The sequence below is a fragment of the Homo sapiens genome, chromosome 16, assembly GCF_000001405.40.
Source record: "Homo sapiens chromosome 16, GRCh38.p14 Primary Assembly".
NCBI classification, from domain to species: Eukaryota; Metazoa; Chordata; class Mammalia; order Primates; family Hominidae; genus Homo; species Homo sapiens.
Window position 1 is genome coordinate 88,640,588 of NC_000016.10, and position 22,737 is coordinate 88,663,324.

General features: G+C 60.7%; 2 protein-coding genes across 7 annotated transcripts, besides 10 other annotated features; both read right to left on the minus strand.

Moving 5' to 3' along the window:
* Positions 30 to 857: an enhancer, noted in NCBI's record as "H3K4me1 hESC enhancer chr16:88707025-88707852 (GRCh37/hg19 assembly coordinates)". NCBI's record gives its function as "activates a minimal SCP1, AML or CMV promoter by ChIP-STARR-seq in primed H9 embryonic stem cells {active_cell/tissue: H9 hESC(primed)}" and the evidence as "EXISTENCE:reporter gene assay evidence [ECO:0000049][PMID:30033119]".
* CYBA (cytochrome b-245 alpha chain) lies at positions 2,702 to 10,466 on the minus strand. Of its 2 annotated transcripts, none has more exons than NM_000101.4 (6): positions 10,369 to 10,466; positions 7,458 to 7,527; positions 6,514 to 6,588; positions 6,168 to 6,251; positions 5,529 to 5,610; positions 2,702 to 2,984 (listed from the first exon to the last, which is right to left on the minus strand). In NM_000101.4, the coding sequence occupies exons 1-6, from the start codon at positions 10,424 to 10,426 to the stop codon at positions 2,766 to 2,768; spliced, it is 588 nt and encodes a 195-aa protein (NP_000092.2). In that variant the 5' UTR covers positions 10,427 to 10,466; the 3' UTR covers positions 2,702 to 2,765. The 2 variants fall into 2 exon arrangements, with proteins under 2 accessions (NP_000092.2, XP_011521207.1); XM_011522905.4 differs by having other exon boundaries at positions 2,702 to 4,842.
* Positions 6,863 to 6,912: an enhancer, noted in NCBI's record as "active region_11359". NCBI's record gives its function as "activates an Ori minimal core promoter by ATAC-STARR-seq in GM12878 lymphoblastoid cells {active_cell/tissue: GM12878}" and the evidence as "EXISTENCE:reporter gene assay evidence [ECO:0000049][PMID:35858748]".
* Positions 8,804 to 9,699: an enhancer, noted in NCBI's record as "H3K27ac-H3K4me1 hESC enhancer chr16:88715799-88716694 (GRCh37/hg19 assembly coordinates)". NCBI's record gives its function as "activates a minimal SCP1, AML or CMV promoter by ChIP-STARR-seq in primed H9 embryonic stem cells {active_cell/tissue: H9 hESC(primed)}" and the evidence as "EXISTENCE:reporter gene assay evidence [ECO:0000049][PMID:30033119]".
* Positions 9,700 to 10,593: an enhancer, noted in NCBI's record as "H3K27ac-H3K4me1 hESC enhancer chr16:88716695-88717588 (GRCh37/hg19 assembly coordinates)". NCBI's record gives its function as "activates a minimal SCP1, AML or CMV promoter by ChIP-STARR-seq in naive H9 embryonic stem cells {active_cell/tissue: H9 hESC(naive)}" and the evidence as "EXISTENCE:reporter gene assay evidence [ECO:0000049][PMID:30033119]".
* Positions 9,700 to 10,655: a biological region, named in NCBI's record as "H3K27ac-H3K4me1 hESC enhancer GRCh37_chr16:88716695-88717588".
* Positions 10,076 to 10,225: a silencer, noted in NCBI's record as "silent region_7863". NCBI's record gives its function as "represses an Ori minimal core promoter by ATAC-STARR-seq in GM12878 lymphoblastoid cells {active_cell/tissue: GM12878}" and the evidence as "EXISTENCE:reporter gene assay evidence [ECO:0000049][PMID:35858748]".
* Positions 10,376 to 10,655: a silencer, noted in NCBI's record as "silent region_7864". NCBI's record gives its function as "represses an Ori minimal core promoter by ATAC-STARR-seq in GM12878 lymphoblastoid cells {active_cell/tissue: GM12878}" and the evidence as "EXISTENCE:reporter gene assay evidence [ECO:0000049][PMID:35858748]".
* Positions 10,594 to 11,488: an enhancer, noted in NCBI's record as "H3K27ac-H3K4me1 hESC enhancer chr16:88717589-88718483 (GRCh37/hg19 assembly coordinates)". NCBI's record gives its function as "activates a minimal SCP1, AML or CMV promoter by ChIP-STARR-seq in naive H9 embryonic stem cells {active_cell/tissue: H9 hESC(naive)}" and the evidence as "EXISTENCE:reporter gene assay evidence [ECO:0000049][PMID:30033119]".
* Positions 10,916 to 11,065: an enhancer, noted in NCBI's record as "active region_11360". NCBI's record gives its function as "activates an Ori minimal core promoter by ATAC-STARR-seq in GM12878 lymphoblastoid cells {active_cell/tissue: GM12878}" and the evidence as "EXISTENCE:reporter gene assay evidence [ECO:0000049][PMID:35858748]".
* MVD (mevalonate diphosphate decarboxylase) lies at positions 11,353 to 22,504 on the minus strand. 5 transcript variants are annotated; one of them, XM_011523089.3, is made up of 13 exons: positions 22,424 to 22,504; positions 22,125 to 22,194; positions 19,933 to 20,050; positions 18,063 to 18,133; positions 17,328 to 17,442; positions 16,849 to 16,995; positions 16,559 to 16,660; positions 15,518 to 15,717; positions 15,069 to 15,143; positions 14,612 to 14,830; positions 14,105 to 14,220; positions 12,713 to 12,821; positions 11,353 to 12,018 (listed from the first exon to the last, which is right to left on the minus strand). In XM_011523089.3, the coding sequence occupies exons 7-13, from the start codon at positions 16,608 to 16,610 to the stop codon at positions 11,938 to 11,940; spliced, it is 852 nt and encodes a 283-aa protein (XP_011521391.1). In that variant the 5' UTR covers positions 16,611 to 16,660; positions 16,849 to 16,995; positions 17,328 to 17,442; positions 18,063 to 18,133; positions 19,933 to 20,050; positions 22,125 to 22,194; positions 22,424 to 22,504; the 3' UTR covers positions 11,353 to 11,937. The 5 variants fall into 5 exon arrangements, with proteins under 5 accessions (XP_011521391.1, XP_011521389.1, XP_011521388.1 ...); XM_011523087.3 differs by lacking the exon at positions 19,933 to 20,050; XM_011523086.3 differs by lacking the exons at positions 19,933 to 20,050; positions 22,125 to 22,194.
* Positions 22,249 to 22,668: a silencer, noted in NCBI's record as "silent region_7865". NCBI's record gives its function as "represses an Ori minimal core promoter by ATAC-STARR-seq in GM12878 lymphoblastoid cells {active_cell/tissue: GM12878}" and the evidence as "EXISTENCE:reporter gene assay evidence [ECO:0000049][PMID:35858748]".

Genomic DNA, 22,737 nt, shown 5'->3' on the forward strand with positions numbered 1-22,737 from the left:
AGGTGGGACTGAGCTGTAGCACGGGGGGGTCACAGGTGTCCCTGCTCTGCCCACACAGTGTCTCCCCTGAGGACACCCCTGGGAACAGGAACCAGCCTCCTTCCTCAAGCAGTGCCTTGAGCCCTATGCTTTGTAATGATGTGAGCGCCTAGGGGCACCCTCTCGGCCCCCAAGGCAAGTCTCTGAGGATGAACTGCAGGGCTGTCGGCTCAAGGCAGGGCCCCCAGCCTTCGTGGTTCGGATCAACATCCAAGGCCAAGCGCCCTCCCTGATGGTGAACTAGCCACGCTTCGGGACCCAGGCTCTGTTGGAGATTTTAGTTAAGGGGCCCCGGGGGGAGCAGCCCCAGTCGTGGAAAGGGGGCCCAGGCCTGTGACAGTCTCAGGGTCTCAGTCTCTAGGCCCCCGGCCCCAAGGGCTGACATTGCCATGGGGCTGCTGGGCAGTTGTTAGCCCCTCCCCTGCCTGGCCCCCTGGCTCACCCACCTACTGCGTCCAGGTGCCTGGAGATGGGGGTGGGGGTGCTGCACAGAAGAACAAGGACTCCACTCAGACTCCCAAAGCAAGAGGCCTCAGGGAAGACTTCCTGGAGGTGGTGGCCCTTGTCCAGGAGATGGAATTTTCATTCAACACATTTATTGAGTTTCTTTTCTTTCTTGAAAAAGGGTCTCGCTCTGTTGCCCAGGCTGGAGTGCAGTGTGGTATGACTTCAGCTCACTGCCACCCCCACCTTCTGAGTTCAAGCGATCCTCCCAGCTCAGCTTCCCAGTACAGGCGTGCACCACCACACCCAACTCATATTTGTATTTTTAGTGGAGGCGGGGTTTCGCCATGTTGGCCAGGTTGGTCTCGAACTCCTGAGCTCAAGTGATCCTCCCACCTCGGCCTCCCAGAGTGCTGGGATTACAGGCGTGAGCCACCGCACCCAGCCATATGAGTTTCTACTAAGCACCTGGCACTGGGAACAGGCCGAGAACAAAATGGTGAAAACCCTTCCTGCCTCCACGGTGACTAATGAAACAAGTGGTGTGTAGTCTGTGAGTGAGTCCAGGACAGAGGCTCTGGGGGAGGGGCTGCAGTTCTTTTTTTTTTTTTTGAGGAGTCTCGCTCTGGCCCAGGCTGGAGTGCAATGGTGCGATCTCGGCTCACTGCAAGCTCCGCCTCCCGGGTTCACACCATTCTCCTGCCTCAGCCTCCTGAGTAGCTGGGACTACAGGCGCCCGCCACCACGCCCGGCTAATTTTTTGTATTTTTAGTAGAGACGGGGTTTCACCGTGTTAGCCAGGATGGTCTCGATCTCCTGACCTCATGATCTGCCCGCCTCGGCCTCCCAAAGTGCTGGGATTACAGGCGTGAGCCACCGCGCCCGGCCAAGGGGCTGCAGTTCTAAGCAGAGGGTCAGGGAGGCCTCGAAGACCTGAAGGGGAGGAGGAAGGAGCCAGGCAGCCATGCAGGGAACAGCTCCAGGCAGCAGGAAGAGCCCATGCAAAGGCCCTGAGAAGACACATGCTGCGTGTGTCCAAGGGTCAGAGAGTGGCCTGCGTGGCTGATGCCAGGTGAGAGGGGGACCGCAGGGGCAGGGCAGGGCGCTGGGGGTGCAGATCATGTCTGCCCTGGGGCCATCAGAAGCTTGTGGCTGTCACTGGAGGTAGCTGAGCCTGTGGGTTCTGAGCCTGCGGATTCTGAGCCGGAGGCACTGGGGTGAGGCTTTGGGTTTCAATGGCAGCATCAGGATGGTTTCAGGGGATGAGGGCAGAGCGGGAGGCGGCAGGTGGCCTGGGTGGGGATGGCCCATGTAGCTGGGGTCTGGATTTGGGCCAGGATTGGATGTGGGGTGTGGGGGTTTCAAGGGTGACCTGAAGCTTGGTGACCTGGGGGGACGGCTGAGATGAGGCTGGATTGAGACGTCTGTATGGTGCCGAGTGTTGGCTGGTGGGGGGTGGATTCTGAAGGCCCCCAGGAACAGAGGACCCTGGCTCTGAAGTGTGAGTTGCTGGGAGAGCAGGTGGACAAGCAGCAGGCAAGGGCTTCTCCGGCCTCAGGGGAGTGGGTGCCTTGGCGAGAGCCCAAAGGTGGGGGACGTGGCTGACGCCGGGCAAAGCTTTGGGGGCACCGGGCTGGGGTGGTGGTGAGGACCTGTGGGCAGGTGTGTGTGCAGCCAGCCACAGCCTCCGCACAAGTGAGGGGAAGGGGTGGCCAGAAGCCCCTGCAACTTGGCCTGAGCGTCCTGGGCAGCTGGGGGGCCCCCCAGCATCAGTGTGGGGGCAAACAAGGCCACATCCGCCACCAGCTTCACCCCAGCTTCTACGGAAAAGAGGCGCAGGGTAGAGGCTCACCACGTGGCTCCGACCCTGTTCCCTTTTCACTTAACGCCAGCGGCCTCCTCTGGAATCCAAGCCCCTTAGGGAGGCGTTAGGTGTGGAGGGCCTGCAGGGCCTGCAGGAGCTGTCAAGGGAGGACTCTGCTGCCTCCTCCAGGCCCGGGAGGACCTTTCTAGGGAGGCACACACCTGGAATCCAGGTACTATATTTCGTGGAATATACGGTACCCGGGATTTCGTGTGCTGCTGAGAAGGAAGGCGATGCTGATGTTAATGAAACTGGAATGCGGCCCGGCTGGCAGGAAACGGGGTGCCTGCCCAGGCCTCGGGAACCATCGCTACCCCAGCCCCGCCCACCGGCCCCAGGCAGAGGCTCACGCGCTCCCGGCTTCGCTGCATTTATTGCAGGTGGGTGCACCTGGCGGGAGGGCAGGTCCGGGGCGAGGTCACACGACCTCGTCGGTCACCGGGATGGGGTTGACCTGGGGACCTCCCGGGGGTCCCCCCGCCGCCACCGCAGCCTCCTCCTCGCTGGGCTTCTTGCGGGCCTCGGCCGGGGGCCGCGGCGGGGGGTTGCTGGGCGGCTGCTTGATGGTGCCTCCGATCTGCGGCCGCTCCCGGGGCTTGGGCTCGATGGGCGTCCACTGCTCGCCACGCACAGCCGCCTGCGGGGCACTGAAGGGTTGAGCCGCGCCCCAGCGCCCGCCCTCCCTCCCTCCCTCCCTCCCCGGAGGCCCACCCCGCTAGGGGCCCTGGGACAGGCTCAAGTCTGAATCCCACGCAGGATGGTGTGACTGCCACTCAGAGAGGTTAAGTGACGCGCCCGAGGCCACACAGCCAGGACCTGGGTCGGCCTGACACCAGCCCAAGCTATTTCTTCATGCCAGGAGTGGGGCCCGAACCCCTGGGCTTCTGGAAGATCCCGTGGTGGACACTCCCAGATGCAAATTCTAGTACTCAAATTCTCCTCTCAAGGTGCCAAGGGCAGGGAAGGCAGGGAGGCAGGCCCGAGGTCCAGCAGGAGGGGTGGCCCAGGAGAGTAGCAGGCCCTGCTCCGTCTGGTGGGCGCCATTCACCCACGCTGGCCGGCAGCCCCCCAAGGGTGCCCAGGCATTTCTGCACATGGGGGTGGTGGGGGGAGAGCTTGAAGACCACGGGATTCCACTGGCTTTTACTAAAAATACAGACTCCTGGGCCCATGCCCGGAGGTTCCACTGCAACAGGTCAAGTGGACCTGGGAGTGTGTGCTTTTCATCTTCTATCCCATAATATCTGGTGGAAAAATATGTCACATCATATACGTCATGAACAGAAAGAGAAACTGGACATGTGTGATCCTACCTGACTCCAAAACGGAAACATTCCATTCTGAAAAGCAAAACTAGAAGGCTGATAGAAGAAAAGGCAGGAACGTGAAGGCAGGACCCAGGGCCAGGGAAAGGTGTTTTCACAAAGCACAGACCATAGAGCAGGTGAACAGGGAAACCTCTGCTCTTCCGTGCAGTGAAGGACTCCACGCGCCAAGTTAACAGACCCTCACCAGAAAGCATGAAGGCATCCCCAGTGTTTAAAGGTTACAAAGGCTAAATAGCTAAAATATATGTGGACTTCCTGCAACTTAAGAAAAAGACAATCAGGCCGGGCGCGGTGGCTCACGCCTGTAATCCCAGCACTTTGGGAGGCCGAGGCGGGCGGATCACAAGGTCAAGGAGATCCAGACCATCCTGGCTAACGCGGTGAAACCCCGTCTCTACTAAAAATACCAAAAATTAGCCAGGCATGGTGGCACGTGCCTGTAGTCCCAGCTACTCGGGAGGCTGAGGCAGGAGAATTGCTTGAACCCAGGAGGCGAAGGTTGCAGTGAGCCGAGATCACGCCACTGCACTCCAGCCTGGGCGATGGCGCGAGACTCCATCTCAAAAAAAAAAGAAGAAAAAGAAAAATACAAAAACCACAATAGAAAAATGGGCAAAGGATTTGAACAGGCAACTCAAGGGAGAAGAAACTCCAACAGCTCAAATCCACAGTCAGAGAAGGGCGAGTCCAAGCTCCACACGGCCAGCTCGTGCTGTGAAACTGGCAAGCGTGGGAGAAAGCCTAGTGCATGGTGGGAGAGATGGGGCCACATGGCTGGTGGTGGGTTGTCTGCTGAGGAGCAGCTGAGCCCGGCAGGGTGAACGGTGCAGAGGCTGATGCCTGACCCAGCAATTCCTCTCTGGGTTTAGCACAAGGAATTCCTCCCGAGGTCTCCAGGAGCCACTAGCTGTGCGTGGCAGCAGGGAGACGGGGGGGATGCGGGTGGCCCCCGGAAAACAAAGCAACAGCCCAGATGAGCACTTGGCAACAGGAAGGGGTTCTAAAGGAGAGTTCTGCCGGTGGCAGGTCAGTGAGGCTTGAAACAGAACTCCACTTCCATACGCGGAAGGCGTACACAGAAAGTGCTGCACCTTTCCCACGCACACACACTAGAAGACGCACAGCAAGGGGAGGGCAGTTGCCTCTGCGGGCAGGAGGGACTTGGCTCTATGGACAAAAGGATTTAAATAAGCAAAGTCTGAGGGCTCTGTCCACCCAGAGACCCCCGCAGTGAGAGGTGGCCTGCAGCCGTCTGTTCCGGAGCCCAGGGCAGGCAGAGGGCATTTCACCCAAGGCCTGGCCAGGCTGCGCCCTGTCCTCCCACCCATCCCTGGCCTCTCAGAGAGATCACTGTATCCCATGGGATGGGCAGCCTTCTAACAGGGTGCAGCAGTCATAAACCAAACGCAGGTGTCGGCAGTTTAAGAAAATGTCTGCGTCCTGGCACCGCCCATGAATCAGCGCGAATAGGGTTTAGGTGAGAAAAGCCTGATAATGGGACCCAAGCGCAGGCACGGTCTTCGGCCGGCTGCGTGACCCCAGGCCAGTCACAGCACCTCCCTGAGCCTCCGCATCTTTGTCTGTAAAGTGGGGACCCCAGTACCCCTCCCAGGGCTGTGGTGCGGGTTAATGAGGAAATGCAAGGAAATGACCCGACACACTAGACACGCCAAAAATGGCAGCAGCAACCGCTGCGTCCCCGCCGTGCTGTGAGCACACGCCCAGGCTCACACTTGCTCCCAGCCTTGGCTCAGCCTACAGAGCCGGCTTCAAGGGCCATGCGTGTCCGAGGGTGTCAGGGCAGGGGCTGGGGATGGGGGTGGCCGGGGCCGACCTCAGAGGGCGCCACTCACCAGTAGGTAGATGCCGCTCGCAATGGCCAGGCAGGCGGTCCCAAGGATGGTGGCCAGCAGGAAGCCGGCGGGCACCGAGAGCCTGGGGGACAGCGGGTGAGAGGCAGGGACACAGAAGGGCACTCAGAAAGGGGAACGGAGCCCCAGGTCTGGGGGCCAAGGCCACAAAGTCTCAGGACAAGGCAGACTGCAGACCCAGGGGACGTGCGCGGACCGGGGCTTGTTTCGGTCCTGGGTGTTCTCAGCCTTGATGTGGACACTAGCGGCTCTGGTGCACTTGCTCGGAGGAAGCAGCCACGTGTGGGTGTCCTGGCCTCAGCCGGCAGTAACCAGCAGACACACAGCACGGAACCCTCCACCCTACCAGGAAGCCCAGGCAAGACCCCCCAGCAGTGCATGCTGACCCCAGACCCTGGCGACGGATCGGAGCTCCTCGGATTTGGAGTGGATCCTTACAAATCCTGCACACTAGACAGCAGACACAGGCCCTGCCAGAGCCAGGGACCCGAATTTTTGTTTGGAAAAACACTGAGGTAAGTGGGGGTGGCTCCTGTCCAGGCAGCCCGGCCGGTGGGACAGTGGGGAGGGTCGGCTCCAAGCCCTCCTGAGCCCTAGAGGGGGTGCGGGACGGGGACTCACAGGAGATGCAGGACGGCCCGAACATAGTAATTCCTGGTAAAGGGCCCGAACAGCTTCACCACGGCGGTCATGTACTTCTGTCCCCTGGGGGAGGGAGGAAGGCGAGACGGCGCGGCTGGGCCTCTCCCACTCGGGACTCCTTTGCTGCCCTGCTGACCACCCCAGGGCACCCAGGCCTCTTTCCTCCCACAAAACACACCGGGCAGGCACCGGCCTTGGTTTACCCACAAGCACCAAAGGGTTGGTTCCGGAGCCTCCAAGTGAGAAACCAAGCTCCACCCAACCCTGTGAGCCCTGCCTGGGCCCCGCAGCCCCCGGAGAGACCCCAGAGCAGGAGGAGACTCACCAGCGCTCCATGGTGGAGCCCTTCTTCCTCTTCCCCCGGGGGTACTCCAGCAGGCACACAAACACGCCCGCCACACTGAAGCCATGTGGTTAAGGAACAGCCCAGCTCAGCCTGAGGGGCCACAGGGAACTCCCTTTACTGAAGACAACACAGAGAGGGGCCCGAGCACGGTGGCTCATGCCTGGAATCCCAGCATTTTGGGAGGCTGAGGCGGGAGGATCACTGGAGCCCAGGAGTTTGAGACCAGCCTGGGCAACATAGTGAGACCCTCATCTCTACAAAAAATTTAAAAGCCAGGTGCAGTGGTGTGTGCCTGTGGTCCCAGCTACTCCAGAGGCTGAGGTAAGAGGGTGGCCTGAGCCCAGGTGGAGGCTGCCATGAGTCACAGCTGCACCACTGCACTGCAGCCTGGGGGACAGAGCGAGACCCTGTCTCAAAAAAGGTCGGGGGCAGCCACTGCCTGAGGTCACAGAGCCAGGAGGCAGCCACGGGAGGTTCCAACAGGTCTGGCACTCGGGGCTGCCCACGCCCTCCCTCCCACCACCCTGCCCAGTGCTCCTTGTCGCAAGGTCCGGCTGGGCGGCAGGGCTGAGATGGGGCAGAGGAGGTAGAGGGGCCGGTCAAGGGGGATGACTGACAGGAGCGGGCAGAGGGGATCCCAGCAGTCCAACAGGGAGGCCTCAGTGCTGGCCCTGGCCCTCTGGTGACACCCCCTGCCCACCACTCACCAGGACTTAGACTGGCGGGTCTGCCGCTGATCGCCACATGGTCCTGGCGAGGGGCCTGGCTGCTGGGGCCTGGGCTGCCCAACCCGTGCACAGCCCACCCTGTGTCCCAGCCTGGCTGCGGTGGTGGGGAGCGGAGGCAAACAGCTCACTGTGAAGTGGCTCCCCAGCTCTGCCCTGGGCGTTCCCCGCCCACCCCAGCCTCAGGTGGAAGGATACATGGAGTAGGCACCAAAGTACCACTGGGTGAAGCGCCCAGCTGTGGCCACGATGCCCCCGGTGATGAGGACTGCGGGGAGAAGTGGGTCAGGCACTGTGGGGCTCCCGTCCCGGGGGCCTGGGCCACCCCCCTTCTCTACCTACTGTGGGCCACCAGGCCACCCAGAGCTGCCCCCTACCCATCCCCACAGCACAGTGACAGGGTCGGGGACACCCCCAGGAGGCACCCCTCTGCACTGGTGAAGAGCAGAGCCTGTGGCGCACGGGCTGGCGGAGGGGGTGCTGGACATGCCCGGGCTCTGGGTCCCAGGAGTGGCCAAGGACAGCCCGACCTGCAGGCCCCAGTGGGCTCTGGGACCCCCAAATGGACCCCCTTGTCACCATGAGTCTTTGTTTGATGCACTGAAAGCTAACAGGCCGAGTGTGGTTTCTGCATCTTCTTGGGGGAGTGTCTTTTTCCCCCCGATACGGAGTTCCTCTTAACCCGTCAGCGGTTTTGCCTTAATTTCGGTTTCGTCTGATATGGCTATTTCTGCACATTTTTGGGGGGGTATTGTCCAATATTCCCCCTTACTGTTTTTTTTTTTTTTCGAGACGGAGTCTTGCTCTGTCACCCAGGCTGGAGTGCAGTGGCGCGATCTCGACTCACTGCTACCTCCGCCTCCAGGGTTCAAGCAATTCTCCTGCCTCAGCCTCCTGAGTAGCTGGGACTACAGGCGCCCGCCACCATGCCCAGCTAATTTTTACATTTTTATTAGAGACAGGGTTTTCACCACATTGGCCAGGCTGGTCTCGAACTCCTGACCTCAGGGAATCCGCCCGCCTTGGCCTCCCAGAGTGTTGGGATTACAGGCATGAGCCACGGCGCCTGGTCCTTCCTACTATTTTATTTCTTTTTTTTTTTTTTTTTGGAGACAGAGTCTTGCCCTGTCACCCAGGCTGGAGTTCCGTGGCGTGATCTCAGCTCACTACAACCTCCACCTCCCAGGTTGAAGCGATTCTCCTGCCTCAGCCTCCCGAGTAGCTGGGACTATGCGCGCCTGCCACCATACCCGGCTAATTTTTTGTATTTTTAGTAGAGACGGGGTTTCACTGTGTTAGCCAGGATGGTCTCGATCTCCTGACCTCGTGATCCGCCCGCCTTGGCCTCCCAAAGTGCTAGGATTACAGGTGTAGCCACCTTGCCCTGCCAGCCATTCTGTTTTTGTCTCCACATGGTCTTGTTGGAAGATTTCCTATCCTTGGTTTGAGCCCAGCTACACATTAACTCTCTGGGTTTGTCTGTCTGCGTCGGAGGAGGGGAGGGCAGTGTCCTTGAGTCTACTCAGCCAATTGTCCATGCATCTTTGGGGACCGTCCTGGTCCCGAGCCTGCCATCCGAAAGAGGGTGCAAAGCTGCCGCTGGTGCCACCAGGGAGGTCTGAGGACGTATTCTGGCACCCAGCCACATTTACAGAGCACCTGCTGTGTACAGGGGGGACTCTTTGTCAAGGCCCTGCTGTCTCCGGGCCAGCTGCCTCCTGGGGCTGCACGGTCTGGAAGGACCTCCCCAGGCAGGTGGCATTTGAATTGAGAAATAAATGAGACAGCCATGAGGCTCTGCAGAAGCAGCAGCTTGTGCCGAGGCCCTGGGGCACGCTCAGGAGATCTAGGAACAGAAAGGAAGCACGGCAGCTGGAGGAGGGGGCCGGAGAGCCGGGAGGCCAGGGCGGGCAGTGCAGGGCGTCCAGTCTGGCTCTAACTCTTCGGGCCAGGAGCCCCTGGAGGGTTTCAGCAGGAGGCCAGACTAGAGCCCAGGTCTCCTGGCTCCCAGCTGGGTGCCCTCAGTCCGTCTACTTCCTGTAGGGAGTGCGGGGCAGGCAGGGTGAGTCTCACGGGGCAGCTCTGGGGAGAGCTGTCTGAACTGACCCACCGACTTCTTGGCCGCTGACTCGAAGCAGGCGGTCACTTTCCTGGGCACAGGACAGGCTGCAGGGCCCCGTCCTCCAGCCCTCCCACCCTGAGGTCTCTGCTCCCACTCCAGCTGCCACGCACCCTCCAGACAACAGGGAGGGCGCTCAGAGCCCCAGGGGAGTGGTGGCAGCGGGCCCCTCCTCCTCACCCTCAGCCCCCAGGCCCTTCCCAGGCACTCCTCCCCCGGTGCAGGTCCTTCCTGGAGCTGCTGCAGTGGTGCCTCTGCCCTCAGACCTCGCCTGAGCCCAGCCTCACCCGTGCTGGGCCAGACACTCCCTGGCCCTGGTCCCGAGAGGGTCCATTTCCAAATGGAGTCCGCTGCCCTCACCAGAACCTCTGAGCAAATGCACAGGAGGGTGACTGGGGGCTGTGCCATCCCACCCCAAGAGCAAAGTGCCTGTGCAGCTGGGCTGGGCAGGGCCGTCACTGGGTGGTTTCGGCGCCTTGTGAAATCTCAGACCGCCTCCAGCGCAGACTCCAGATGAGAAGGGCTGAGCCCCAGGGCATGAGCCCATTCCCCACCCCAAGCCCAGGGAGAGCGACCTCCAGGCCAGCTGGCTACCGAGGGGCAGGGGAGCTTCTCCCGATGCCCAGGCCGGAGCCCCCACTCGGGGGCTTCGGGGCGGTGACCCCGGAAACCACCGGGGCTGAACCGCCTCTTCCCCTGCGCTGCAACTTCCTCCTTCGCGGAGTCGGGGGACCGAGAGAAGGGAATGGGGGAGGGGCGCCGCGCTCCGCAGGGTCTGCAAGGGAATTACTGGGGGTCTCAGAACTCCTCCTTCCAGCCCGCGGCCTGAGGGTCCCGCCCCCGTTCCCCGCACCCTCCTGGCCTGACCCCGGCCCGGCCTGGCCCGCCTGGCGCCCCACTTCCCCACCCTGTAAGTAGCCCGAGGTCCCGGCTGGGGTCTTGGGACACCCCTCCAGGCTGCAGCCTCCACCGTCCCTGACGTGCACTCACTCAGGCCGGACGCCAGCGCCTGTTCGTTGGCCCACATGGCCCACTCGATCTGCCCCATGGCGACACGAACCCGGCTGGGACACTGCTAGGCGCGCACTGCCGCCCCTGCGCTCCCGGCCGAACCCCGCCCCGCCCAGGCCCCGCCCCCAGCCCCCCAGGTGACCGCGGCTGGGCGGAGACCCGCATCTGTAGGGTGCAGGGCTGTCCCGGAGCCTTCTGCCCCCGCCCTCTCTAGCCACGCCGAGGCATAGGAGGGGCCCTGCCCGGCAGCCCCAGCCCAGGCGGGGAGTTCCTGCGCTTCCCCAGGGCTTCCCAAACTTCAGCTCTCAAACACTGACAAGTGCCCCTGCCCAATGCTCCGGACCCAACCGAGGGTCCCGTGTCAACCAGGCGTCTATTAATAGCAGGACAAGGTGTGAAGGTCGGCTTCCTGAGCAAATCGGCCTCTCCAGAGCCTTGGGGGGTGGGGGAGTCACCCCTACAGCCCGGGAACACCTCTGCACCCTGATGCTACCAAGGACAAGGGTGGCCTCCCCATGGGGACCAGAGGCCCAGCCCCCATTTCCTCCCCCTGGCTCTGGGCTGGCACAGGCGTGGCCTGGGTCAGACACTGCAGGGGGCCTCCCGTCACCAGGTCACTGAACTGTGACTGAGACTCGAGGGAGGGGACAGGATGTGTACAACTGGGAAAGCACAGAATGCAGGGACGGCCCCGTCACGTCCGGCCTGGGTACGGGAGGCAGGGGCTGGCGTGGGGGTGGTGAGCCCAGCGCCCATGGGAAGACTTTAGACCTGGGGTTGCTCCTGAGGGTCCCACCTGAGCCAATGTGGGGTTTGAGGGGAGCCCCTCTGTGGCTCTGCCCAGCCTGCCCCTCCCCCAGGCCCTCATGGGGCACACCTGGACTCCCTGACAGGTGCCAGGGTCACTCAGAGCAGGAACCCCGGGATGCTGGTTTACGAAACAGAAAAACGGCGGAGGCCGGAGGCAGCAATGCTGGTTTATTCCCCATGGCCACCGGGGCCGCACTGGTGCCCACTCCTGCCACCATTCCAGCCACACCCAGGCCGTGGGCAGCCACCCTCCGAGACACCTGGGCCGGGGGCAGGGTCTCAGCAGAAGCGCCGTGGGCAGCCACCATCCGAGGCACTTGGTGGTTTCCTGAGGCCCAAGGAGGCTGCTCCCAGCACGGTGACCCCTTCCCTGGTCCGCTGGAGGGACCACCTCCCCACTGAGCTCCTTTCTCAGAGAACTGGGCATAGCCAGAGCTGGGGTGAGAAAGCCCTTCAGCCCTGCTGCACCGAGGCTCTGCCAGTTCTCATACCCCCTCCCCATCCCATCTTGGCAAAGCGCTGGTGCAGCTTAGGGCAGCTGAAGCACTCGGCGGGGACCTCTCCTGACACCTGGGCGGCCGCAGGACTCCCTGCACTGCCCCACAGCAAGCTGCCCATGGGCCCGGGGTCAAGCCACCACCCACATGTCCCAGGAGTCCGGCCAGCCCACCACATCCGCTCCCTAGCTCCGGCGAGGCCACCCCTTCTCCAAGCGGCATGCGGTCCCTGCTGAGGCAGTCAGGCAGCTGGCTTCGGCAGGCCGTCAGGACCCAGGAGGTGGGCGCAGGGGTCATCCAGGATTTGAGGCCCTGGCCCCACCTGGGGATAGAAATCCATGTCAGGTCACCAGGAATGGCAGCGCCTCATCCTGTGCCCAGCATCTGTAGGGCCGGACACAGGAGGGTAGCGGTGTGCCCCCGCCCTTCCTGTGGGTCCTGGTCAGAAGGTAAAGCGCCTGAGTGGTGACACCCACACGCAGCTCCTGCAGGCACAGCCGCCCCTGCCAGCTGCGAGCCCCCTGCCCTGGGCACTGCTTCTGTCACAGGGGGGACAGAGAACCACAGAGCCTGGGAACAGGCAGCCCCTGAGAGGAAGGTGGCGGCAATGGCTTGGGCGGCCGTGATCACTGGATGCAAGCTTGGCCCTCGGAGCAGGTCAGAGGGCAGGAACTCCGGTCTGCTGGGGTGGTTGGGGTGGGGGGGTCCCAGGGACCCCAGCAGCCCCCACCCCAGGCGCTCCCTATTCAAGGGTCTGATACTCCCCACCTGTCTCCCTGGGAGCCTGTGTCAGACTCACCCTCCCACCCTCAGCGCAGCCCTGCTGCTCTGAGCATCACCAGTGGCCTGTAATGTCCACTTTGAGAGCAAATGAATGGACAAAGGCGTTCTGGCTTCCTGCCTGAGACACGGTAGGGACAGGGAGCCGCGCTTAGCCTTTAAGGGCCCTGGGGGCTGGGCGGGCCCCCCTGGCAGGAAAGGAAACCCCGGGGTACTGGGTGAGCCCCAGGCCTCACCTGAGTGACAATGATGTATTTGACCCCACCGGGGGTCGGCTCCATGGCCAGCGCAGCCTGAAGCTCAGCTGAGAGAGGGGCCGGCCTCACCTGCAGCCCCTTCAGAAACCTGGAAAAGCAGGGCAGGGGCACGGTGAATGCATCCGTTTCTCTAAGCGTCTACAACAGTCTACAACAGGCAAGTCCAGAGATGGGAAGTGCATTCCTGGCCGTCAGGGCTCAGGGAGGGGGAGACGGCAGGTGGCTGCTGTGGGGACAGGTTTCTTTTAGGGGTGATGAAAAAGTTAAGGAGGTGGCTTGAGGTGGTGCTCACATGACCCTGTGAATGTCCTCAACACCGCAGGATTATATGCTCTCGAATGGCTGAGACAGGAAATTTTAGGTTATGTGGTAAACAGCTATGCCCAGGCTGGACCCACATCTGGCCAAGGGTGCTGCCAAGCCCCATGGGGTAACAGCTCAGGGAAGCGCCCAATTCAAGCTGGTGCGTTCGTCACCGTGTTCTGCAGAACAGCGGAAGCCTGCAAGCCCCACCCGGAGCAGCAGCCACGAGCCTGGTGCTTCCCAGGCGGGCAGTCCTGGGGTGTGGGTCTGAGTCCACCCCACAGGGCAGGCCCCTGACCATTAGAAGGTGTTATTGCTCCCACCCGGGACAGACGCACATCCCCACACGCTTCCAGACACCCTTAAATGGGAGGCGCCTCTCACATTGAGAATAAGACACCATGAAAACACGGGAGGGAAGAAATCAACAGCCCCGGGGCGTAAGGAGGCTGGGCCAAGCTGTGCACCGAGGAGGGCGTACATGGGGGCTCTGTGGCACCCCCACAGAGCAGCGCAGGGGAAGAGGCGGTTCAGGGCCAAGCTGTGCACCGAGGAGGGCGTACATGGGGGCTCTGTGGCGCCAAGATGCAGCTGCCGGACCCCACCCAAGAAAAGACACCCAACTGCCGGGGCGGGGTCAACACCCGGCCGCCTTGACTGGCTCTAACTCGCTTCAGTAAGAAGGAAATCAGGGGCTTTGACTCCTTTCCTTCAAAATGTCGGACACTTACGCACACATCTGGGAGTGCAGGCGTGTTTCCTAAGCCACTGTTCTATAGAATAAGAGCCTGCGGGGTCCCGAGCTGCAGGGGACGCTGTCACTCAGGAGGTGGGAGACCCTGGGCGTTGCTCACACACGCGTGAGCGGCCTCTCTTTCTTCCCTGTGGACGTGGGCTGTGGGATGGCTCTATGGGGACACCCTGCCCGTGGCTCCCACACTCGGGGGACTGCTGCCTGCCCTGGGACTCCCTGTCTCAGCGCCACAGCCTTCAGGTGCCTCCGTCTCTTCCGACCAGAGTTCCTGGCACCATCTCCCAAAAAGGAGGAGGGGCGGGGTCCACACTCACGTGTCTCCATTCGAGCCTGGGGGAAAGCCGTGCCACACAGCAGCCACAAACTCAGCCACAGTGTCGTCCAGGGTGAAGATCACGGCATTGGGGCCCGCGTCAAAGGTGTACGCCACCTGGAACCCACAGCAGTCACCCTGGCTATTCACGTGGTGCCTGACCCTTGTCTCCCCAACCCTCTGGTCTGCCAGGCGGCCTTGGGCTCTCCAAGAGCTCAGTCTAGGCCCTCAGGGCCACACTGGAGTGGAGCTGTGACCCCAAGTGCCTGGTACTTGACACGTCTGCCTGTGAACCCAGGAAGAAGGTGGTGGGGCCGTGACCCGGGCAAGTCAAGAAACAAAATGAAACAGAAGAACCCAGATGGTCAGTGAGCTTCGCACACAGCAGGGTGGAGCTTTCAGACACAGATTGCCCTGCACGCGAGCCCCGGGGCCGTCTCCACGGCAGCACAAGCCTAGACACGCGCTACAGCGCGAGCGCAGCCTCTGCCCTCCCGGCCCGCGTCACCTTGGTGTCCCCGTGGTGGGCGTTGAAGCGGTGCACCAGGTGGATGATGCGCCAGGAGATGGCATTGAGGTAAGAGATGGGCGGGAAGGTGTCGAGGCAGGTGGCGTGGAACTGGTTGCTGTCCTTCATGGTCAGCTGGGCGAAGCTGGGGAAGTCTCGCTCCCGGATGCAGCGGGCCATCTCCGCCATGCGCGCGGGCACCACGGACTCGGCCCGGAACTGCAAGGCACAGGGTGTTTCCCATGGAGCCGCTGGGGGTCTCGACAGCAGAGGGTTCGAGGAGAGACTCCGGGGTTGGAGGCCCGGCTCGAGCCCCATCTCTGCATTTGGCTCCTGCACGTGGTCTTGGCGGGGCTGCCGCAGGTGTGAGAACACTCGGGCCCAGACAGAGGCTGAGGGCAGAGCCGGGCACAAGCGTGACTCCCAGGGCCCCGGGACCACCCGCTCCTGGCCTTACCCGAAGCAGGGGGCTGGTCTCCACACTGGCCCGCATGCCCACGGTACTGCCTGTCAGCTTCTTCTCAGCGCTCACCTGCACGAGGGAGAGACAGCCTGGGCCACACCCTGCAGGGGGCCAGCCCCAAGGACCTCAGCCTCAAACACTCGGCCCTCCCTCAGCCAATGCAGGCAGCGGGGGTGGGAGTCAGTGCCACCTGCCTGACCACAGAGGCCTCCCGGCCACAGCAGGGGTGACGCAGGGGCAACTTCCAGATCCCAGCGGGTGGTGGCGCCCGCCGCATGGGAGCGGTTCCTGAGCACTCAACCACGCTTCTGTTCCTTCAGCCCCCGCTGACCCCAGGAGCCAAGCAAAGCCTGGATGGACGCCTTCGCTCCTGCTCCCGGCAGCAGCCCTGACTAGGGACAGAGGCCACCGGGCTGCTGCTCCACCCGCCCCACCCCACTCACCACAAGGATGAGCACGCGGAGTTCAGGCCAGTGTGACTCGGGGGCCACTTGCCGAGCGATGCTGTCCTTCCCGTCGGCCTGCTCTCCCATCTGCCACTCCACAAAGCCCCCATACAGGCTCCGGCAGGCGCTGCCTGAGCCCCGGCGAGCCACTTCTGAGAGGTCACTCTCCACGCCGTAGACACGGGCCAGGGTGTAGGCTGCAGGCATGCGGATTCAGGGAGGGTCCTCAGAGCTGCCTGCGCTGTGCTCCCTGACAGCTCACCGCCCCAGGAACGTCCCACACCCCACGGCAAATGGGGATTTCCAGATGACAGGGCTTCTGGGCCATCAGCCTTTGAGGCCAGCATTCACCGGCCCAGCCGTCTGTCCCCCACCTCCGCTAGTTCCACTCTCGGACACTCTCTGTTCACGGCCTGCAGAGCTTGCGGCCCGCGACAAGGGCAACAAAAGGTACCTGCGGCAGAGCAGGAAGCCCCATGGAAGGCGGGAGAAAGGCCCCCGAGGACACCCAAGCTGGGCTTTGAGGGTGGGAAGGAATTTTAAGGCTGTGTGGGGCAGGGACCGATGCCAGGACAGAGCTGGACTCCACAAGACGCGCCCCCTGCCCACCCAGCACGGGAGCCACCTTCTCCCCTCCTCCCACAGGGCTCCAGCAGGGCAACCCCACCTCCAGGTCTGGTCACCCACCCTGGTCACCGAGGGTGGTTCAGGGAAGGCGCAGGAGCCCAGGTGGGCCAGGAAGCGTCACCCCTGGAGTTGAGGGGTGAAGATGGTGTGAGACCACCACCGGGGGGACAGGCTCTGACAGTGGGTGGGAAGCTGCCAGCAAGTGGCCTGGGGCCAGCAGAGAGCTGGGTCCAGCGGGGCCTGCAACCAGCTGTGCCCATTGGAATCCTCAGTTACGTGAGCCACAAAATCATCGCTATTTTAGGGCTGAGCCAGTTTGAAGTGGTTTCTATCACTGACAATCTAGAGGGGCTCCACATACAGCAACGGGAAGATTTTTTTATTTTTTGTAGAGATGGGGGGGGGTCTCACTATGTTGCCCAGGCTGGTCTTGAACTCCTGGCCTACAGTGCTTCTCCCCCATCAGCCTCTTAAGTACTGGGATTACAGGCGAGAGCCCCACGCCAGCTGCAACTGGAAGATGAAAATGTTCAGATGTGCTCTGGGAAGAGACTGAACAACTCCAGAGAGGCCAGGGAGGCCTGGGGTGAGGGGATGCTCTTTTAGCCACGCCCAGCAGTGGGCTCCCTGACCCGGGAAGAGCATGAAGTGGCTCCTGCGCCCACAGCCCAGAACCCCTGCGGGTCTCTGTGGGCACCCACCTAGGCAGGCATAGCCCGCCGCTGAGGAGGCCAGGCCCGCAGCCGTGGGGAAGTTGTTCACCGATGCCACGTGCACCTTGCAGCTGAGGCTGGAGGGCAGCGGGTCCCCATCCCGTGAGTTCCTCCGCTTCCGGGCCAGGCAGCGGACTGCAGAGACAATGAGACAGCGTGTGGCCCAGCCGTCAGCACCCTGCCCGCCCTGCTCCTGCCCACCTGCCCGGGGTCACAGCTGAACACCAGGCCTCTGCCTGCCAGACTCCTCGTGGAGAGTTTCTTACCCGGGAAAACCCCAGACTGACCCAAGCCCAGCTGGTCATTGAGGTGGGCCACTGCCCTGGAGCTGGCGGCCCAGCGGGCATGTCTGGTTCCCAGCCACCCCGCCTGCTGCCTCAGGAGGGGCACAGAGGCAGAAGCACTTTCTGGATGCTCGGACCCTGCTGACAACAGGGAGGGATGGGCTTATGGGGACCCCAGCTCACTCTCCCGCAGGCAGGCCTGCAGCCGCGGCTGCCCCACATCCTCCTCCCGGCCATTCAGCCAAATCCGGTCCTCGGTGAAGTCCTTGCTGATGACGGCTGTTGTGGTGGTTTTTAACTGAAAAGGAAACCCAGGGCCACCTCAGAGGCCAGCATTGAGGACCGATGCCAGCCAGGTACCCCTTTCTACTGAGAGAGCCTCATGGCTGCCCACTCGAGCAAGGTCAGCCCTGCTGAGGGCAGGGGGGGAAAGGCCAGTCTCAGCTGGGCAGTGGGGAAGCCCGTGGGGGATGAAAGCGTGGGCCACACCTTGTGGAGCAACCAGGCCTTATCCTGAATAAAGAGACGGGGACTCCCAGGGGAGCCCCTGGGGCACGGTGTGCGCATGTGTGACGAGACCTGGGGGCACATGTGTGCTGTGCTCAGCTCTCCTAATACTGGGAGATGGAACAGACACTGCGTGCTGGCTGGGAGTCGTCGCTAGGCCATCTCATCCTAGCCTTTAGGTAAAAAAGTACCAATTTTTTTTTTGTTTCAGAGACAGGGTCTCACTCTGTCACCCAGGCTGGAGTGCAGTGGTGCGATCATGGTTCACTGTGGTCTCCAATGCCTGGGCTCAAGAGACTCTCCCCAAGTGCTGGGATTGCAGATGTGAGCCACCATACCCAACGGGTACCAACTGTTCTACAAATGTTCTGGAAATGGCACTGTGGTGTTTAGTCGTCAGTCCACACATACCTGGTCCTGGTGCAGAGTGACGCTCAGGGAGGAGTTGATGGGCAGAACCAGCTCTTCATCGCGCTTGCCCCCTGTAATGAACAGCCAGGGCCAGGCCGGTGGGCTTCCCGGCCCACCCTCCCCCAGTGTTCCCCACAGGTGCCCCCACCCCCCACCCACGGCCCCCATCCGCCTCAGTCCCGTCTCTCACCGCACAACCTGTGTGCCCCTCCTCCTGCCAGACCCCGGCCTGCAAGAACTGCTCCCACCCCACTGAGCTCAGGCTCCCAGAGCAGAGCTGGAGGCCAGCCAACCTCCGTCCCCGCTCCCCATTCCTTCATCGCTTCTACTCCAGCATCCGTGAGTGCCCAGGTGCGGATCGCTCCCACCGCGGCCTGCCTCCCCTCCACCTTCCCAAACAAAAGGAGCCCAGCTCTGAGAACTCCTCACATCTCACTGCTCATATGCCCCAGGAACATCCAGGATAAACCCCTTTCTGCCCAGCACGGCCATGGGACAGCACGTGAAATCAAACTTCCAGAAAGCCCGAAAGGAAACGTTTGCCCTGGGAGCGCTGCGTGGTGCTTCAGCTGAAGTCTTATTCCACGGCGGCTTCGCTAAGCACACCATCTGCTCGGTTTTGTGCGAGGGGAGGTCTCTGAGGATGGCGGACAGTTCCAGGGGTGATAAACGCGGACACCTGGCAGAGAACCACGCCCTGCAGCTCGCGAGGCTCTTTCACGCACAGCACTGAGCGGCCCCCCTTGCAGGCGGACGCCGCTGCCCTGACAGGCCGGGCGAACCTCTGCTTTCAGGAAGGTGGGCCAGGGGACTTCTCCCGCTTCCTCCCACTGGGGACAACTGAGACCCTGGACATCACAGGTGAGACTCTCACGGGTGACAGAGGGCGGCTGTGGGACAGTGCAGGGGGAGCCCGGGGCTTTCTTTTCTGCTTGCCCTAGACCTAGCCCTGCAGAAGCTGGAACTGCCAACCAAAGCCAGCCCTCCCTAGCAGGACCAGGAAGGGCAGCCTAGCAACACAGAAACAGACTCCTGGCCGGGCGCGGTGGCTCACGCCTGTAATCCCAGCACTTTGGGAGGTCGAGGTGGGCAGATCACCTGAGGTCGGGAGTTTGAGACCAACCTGACCAATATGGTGAAACCCCATCTCTACTAAAAATACAAAAATTAGCCAGGCTGTAGTGACGCACGCCTGTTATCCCAGCTACTCAGGAGGCTGAGGCGGGAAAATCGCTTGAACCTGGGAGGCGGAGGTTGCACTGAGCCGAGATGGCACCACTGCACTCCAGCCTTACTCCAGCCTGGCAACAGAGGGAGACCCTTTCTCAAAAAAAAAAAAAAAGAAAAGAAAAAAAGAAACAGATCCCTCCCACACTCCAGGCTGGAACAGTGCCCCGCCCCCTTTCCCTCCCTGAAGGAGTGGGGACTTTCACCTCCCCAGGAGTCATTGGAGAGCACACGGGAGACTGGACTCCCCTGACCTGCCGGCTCTTGTCAGAGGCCAAGCAGACACTCAGGAATTCCTGAGGGCCTGGTGGGGATGGGACAGCGTTGGTGGGGAGGGGAACCTGGACTTCTGCCTCCTTATCTTGAGCCAGCACCCCCTCCTCCACCAGCGCGCTATCAAAAACCAGCTCAAACGTAAGGTTTAAAGAAGACCAGAGTCTCTGAACGTTACAAGAAAATGGACACGTTTCCATAAATATCACTGTTGGTGAGCCTCAGTGGCTCACACCTACGATCCCAGCACTTTGGGAGGCCGAAGCAGGCAGATCACTTGAGGTCAGGAGTTTAAGACCAGCCTGGCCAATATGGCAAAACCCCGTCTCCACTAAAAGTACAAAAATTAGCCAGGTGTGGTGGCGCACACCTGTAGTCCCAGCTACTCGAGAGGCTGAGGCAGGAGAATCGGTTGAACCCGGGAAGCGGAGGTTGCAGTGAGCCGAGATCACGCCATTGCACTCCAGCCTGGGTGTCGCAGTGACAGTCTGTCTCAAAAAAATAAATATAAAAGTAATACAAATAAATATAAAAATATAAATATAAAATAAATAAATATAAAAAATAAAAATAAAAGGCCAGACGCGGTGGCTCACACCTGTAATCCCAGCACTTTGGGAGGCTGAGGTGGGCAGATCACGAGGTCAGGAGCTTCAGACCAGCCTGGCTAACACGGTGAAACCCCATCTCTACTAAAAATACAAAAATTAGCCAAGTGTGGTGGCACGTGCATGTAGTCCCAAATACTCAGAAGACTAAGGCAGGAGAATTGCTTGAACCCAGGAGGCGGAGGTTACAGTGAGCCAAGATTGTGCCACTGCACTCCAGCCTGGGTGACAGAGCAAGACTCTGTCTCAAAAAAAAAAAAAAAAAAAAAAAAAATAGCAGAAGAGAAAATCCAGAAATAGACCCACACAAACATGCCCAGCTGATTTTTTTTTTTACAAAAGTGCAAAAGCAATTCAATAGAGGAAGGATAGCCTTTCTGGGCTAACTGGACAACCTTGGATCACAGACTTAAATATAAAAGGCAATCCTGTACAACTTGGAGGAAAGCAGACAATCTTCAGGACATAGGGCTAAGCAAAGAGGTCTTAGACTTGACATCAACATTGATACACTGAACTTCTTTAAAATGAAAAACTGGCTCTTTGTTAAGAGGACAAAAAGATTAGCTAGTTTGGGAGACAATACCTGCAAACCACATGTCCAACAGGAGACTAATATCTAGAATACATATTTTATTTTTTTTCAGTAGAGACGGGGGTTTCACCATGTTGGCCAAGCTGGTCTCAAACTCCTGACCTCAGGTGATCCGCCCACCTCAGCCTCCCCAAGTGCTGGGATTACAGGCTTGAGCCAGCGTGCCCAGCCTAGAATGTGTAATGAACTCTCCAAACTTATAGTAAAAAAGCAAACCATCCAGTTCGAGCGTGGACACAGAATATGAAGAGAGATTTCACCAAGAAAACCCACAGATGGCAAATAAGCACAAAGAAAGATGCTCCACGTCACTGGCCAACAGGGAAACGCGAATGAGGACCACAGCACCCTGCCAGCACATCCCTACCAGGACGCGGCTAAAATGAAAAACAGCAACTCCACCAAATGCTGGTGAGGATGCGGAAAATCTGCATCACCGTAGGGATGCAAAATGGCCCAGCCACTCTGAAAAACAATTAGACAGTTTCTTTAAAAAAAAAAAGTATATATATAATATATATATGTATATATACACACACATACATCTATATAGGTGTATACATATACACACACATATATCTATACAGGTGTATATATATATACACACACACAAACATACATATATACATAGAAAGAGAGAGAGAGACAGAGAGGCATATATATATATCTACCATCTGACCCAGCAACCGCACTCCTGGGCATTTATCCCAGAAGAATGGAAATGTATGTTCACACAAAAACCTGTATACAACATTTTATGGCAGCTTTATTGGTAAGGGAAACACAAAAAAATTAGCCAGTCGTGGTGGCGGCTTCTGGAAAGAAAAGAAAGAAAGAAAGAAAACGTTAGATGCTCTTTGCGGGGTGAGGCCTTGGCTAGAGAGAGGGTGGTCCATGGATTCCACGGACTGGCTCAGCAACAGAGGGGCAAAGCACTGATACAATCCCGGGGCACGTCCACATTCTATGCTGAATGAAATAAGCCAAACTCAAAAGATACTGGGTGGGCCACATAACTGCGATTCCAGTTTCAGAACATTTTGAAATGACGTTACAGAAATGAGTGGTCAGTGGCGGCCAGGTAACCCCGGCGCGAGGGGAGGGGCGGGGCTGTGAACGCACAGGTGCGGACCGGCCTCCCCGGCACGGATGTGGGCCTGCGGGCCCCCCATTACCGCTCCTTGGAGGTTACCGCTGGGAGAAACGGGGCGAGGGAGGGACACAGGGTCTCGGGCTGGGGGAGCAGTGGCGCGATTTCCGCTCACTGCAGCCTCGACCTCCCGGGCTCTGGCCATCCTCCCGCCTCAGCCTCCCGAGTAGCTGGAGCCACAAACGCGCACCACCACGGCGGATTCTTACGATTCATGGGAATCGATGATTGATGATTTCGATAGTTCGGTAATCGCTAATGGGCAGGCGCCGGGCGACCCTGCAGGGGCGGCAGCCGTCGCGGGGGAACGGGTGGCGCCGAGCTTGTCACGCGAAGGAGCGCGCGGCCCCGCCCGACCACCGCCGCGCCCCTCCCTGAGCCTCAGTTTCCCCGTCTGTCGAGGCCCTGGGAGGGCAGGACGGAGCGCGCCGCCGAATCAGCGCGCGACCCCCGCGTACCCGGCCTCGCTCCCGGCCATCCCCGTCCCAGGCCGGCCCGCGGCACTCACAGTACTTGATGACCGCGATGTTGACCGGCGCTGTACAAGTGACTGCCGCCAGCGGCTTCTCCGAGGCCATGGTCCCACCGCGCAGTGACCCCAGCTCCACAGCCACTTACGGCCCGCGATCCCACCCCAGAGGCCTCTGCCTCCTCACGCGCTACCACAGGATTGGCCCGTGCGAGCCCGGCTGCTCGCGCGCCGACCAATCAGCGGCGAGTCGGGCGCACGCATTACCTCTCAGCCAATGGACGGGATCGGACGATGGGTTGCTGACGTAGGTCCGCCCCACCCGCAGGGTGCGCTCGCCAGGCCTGGGGCGT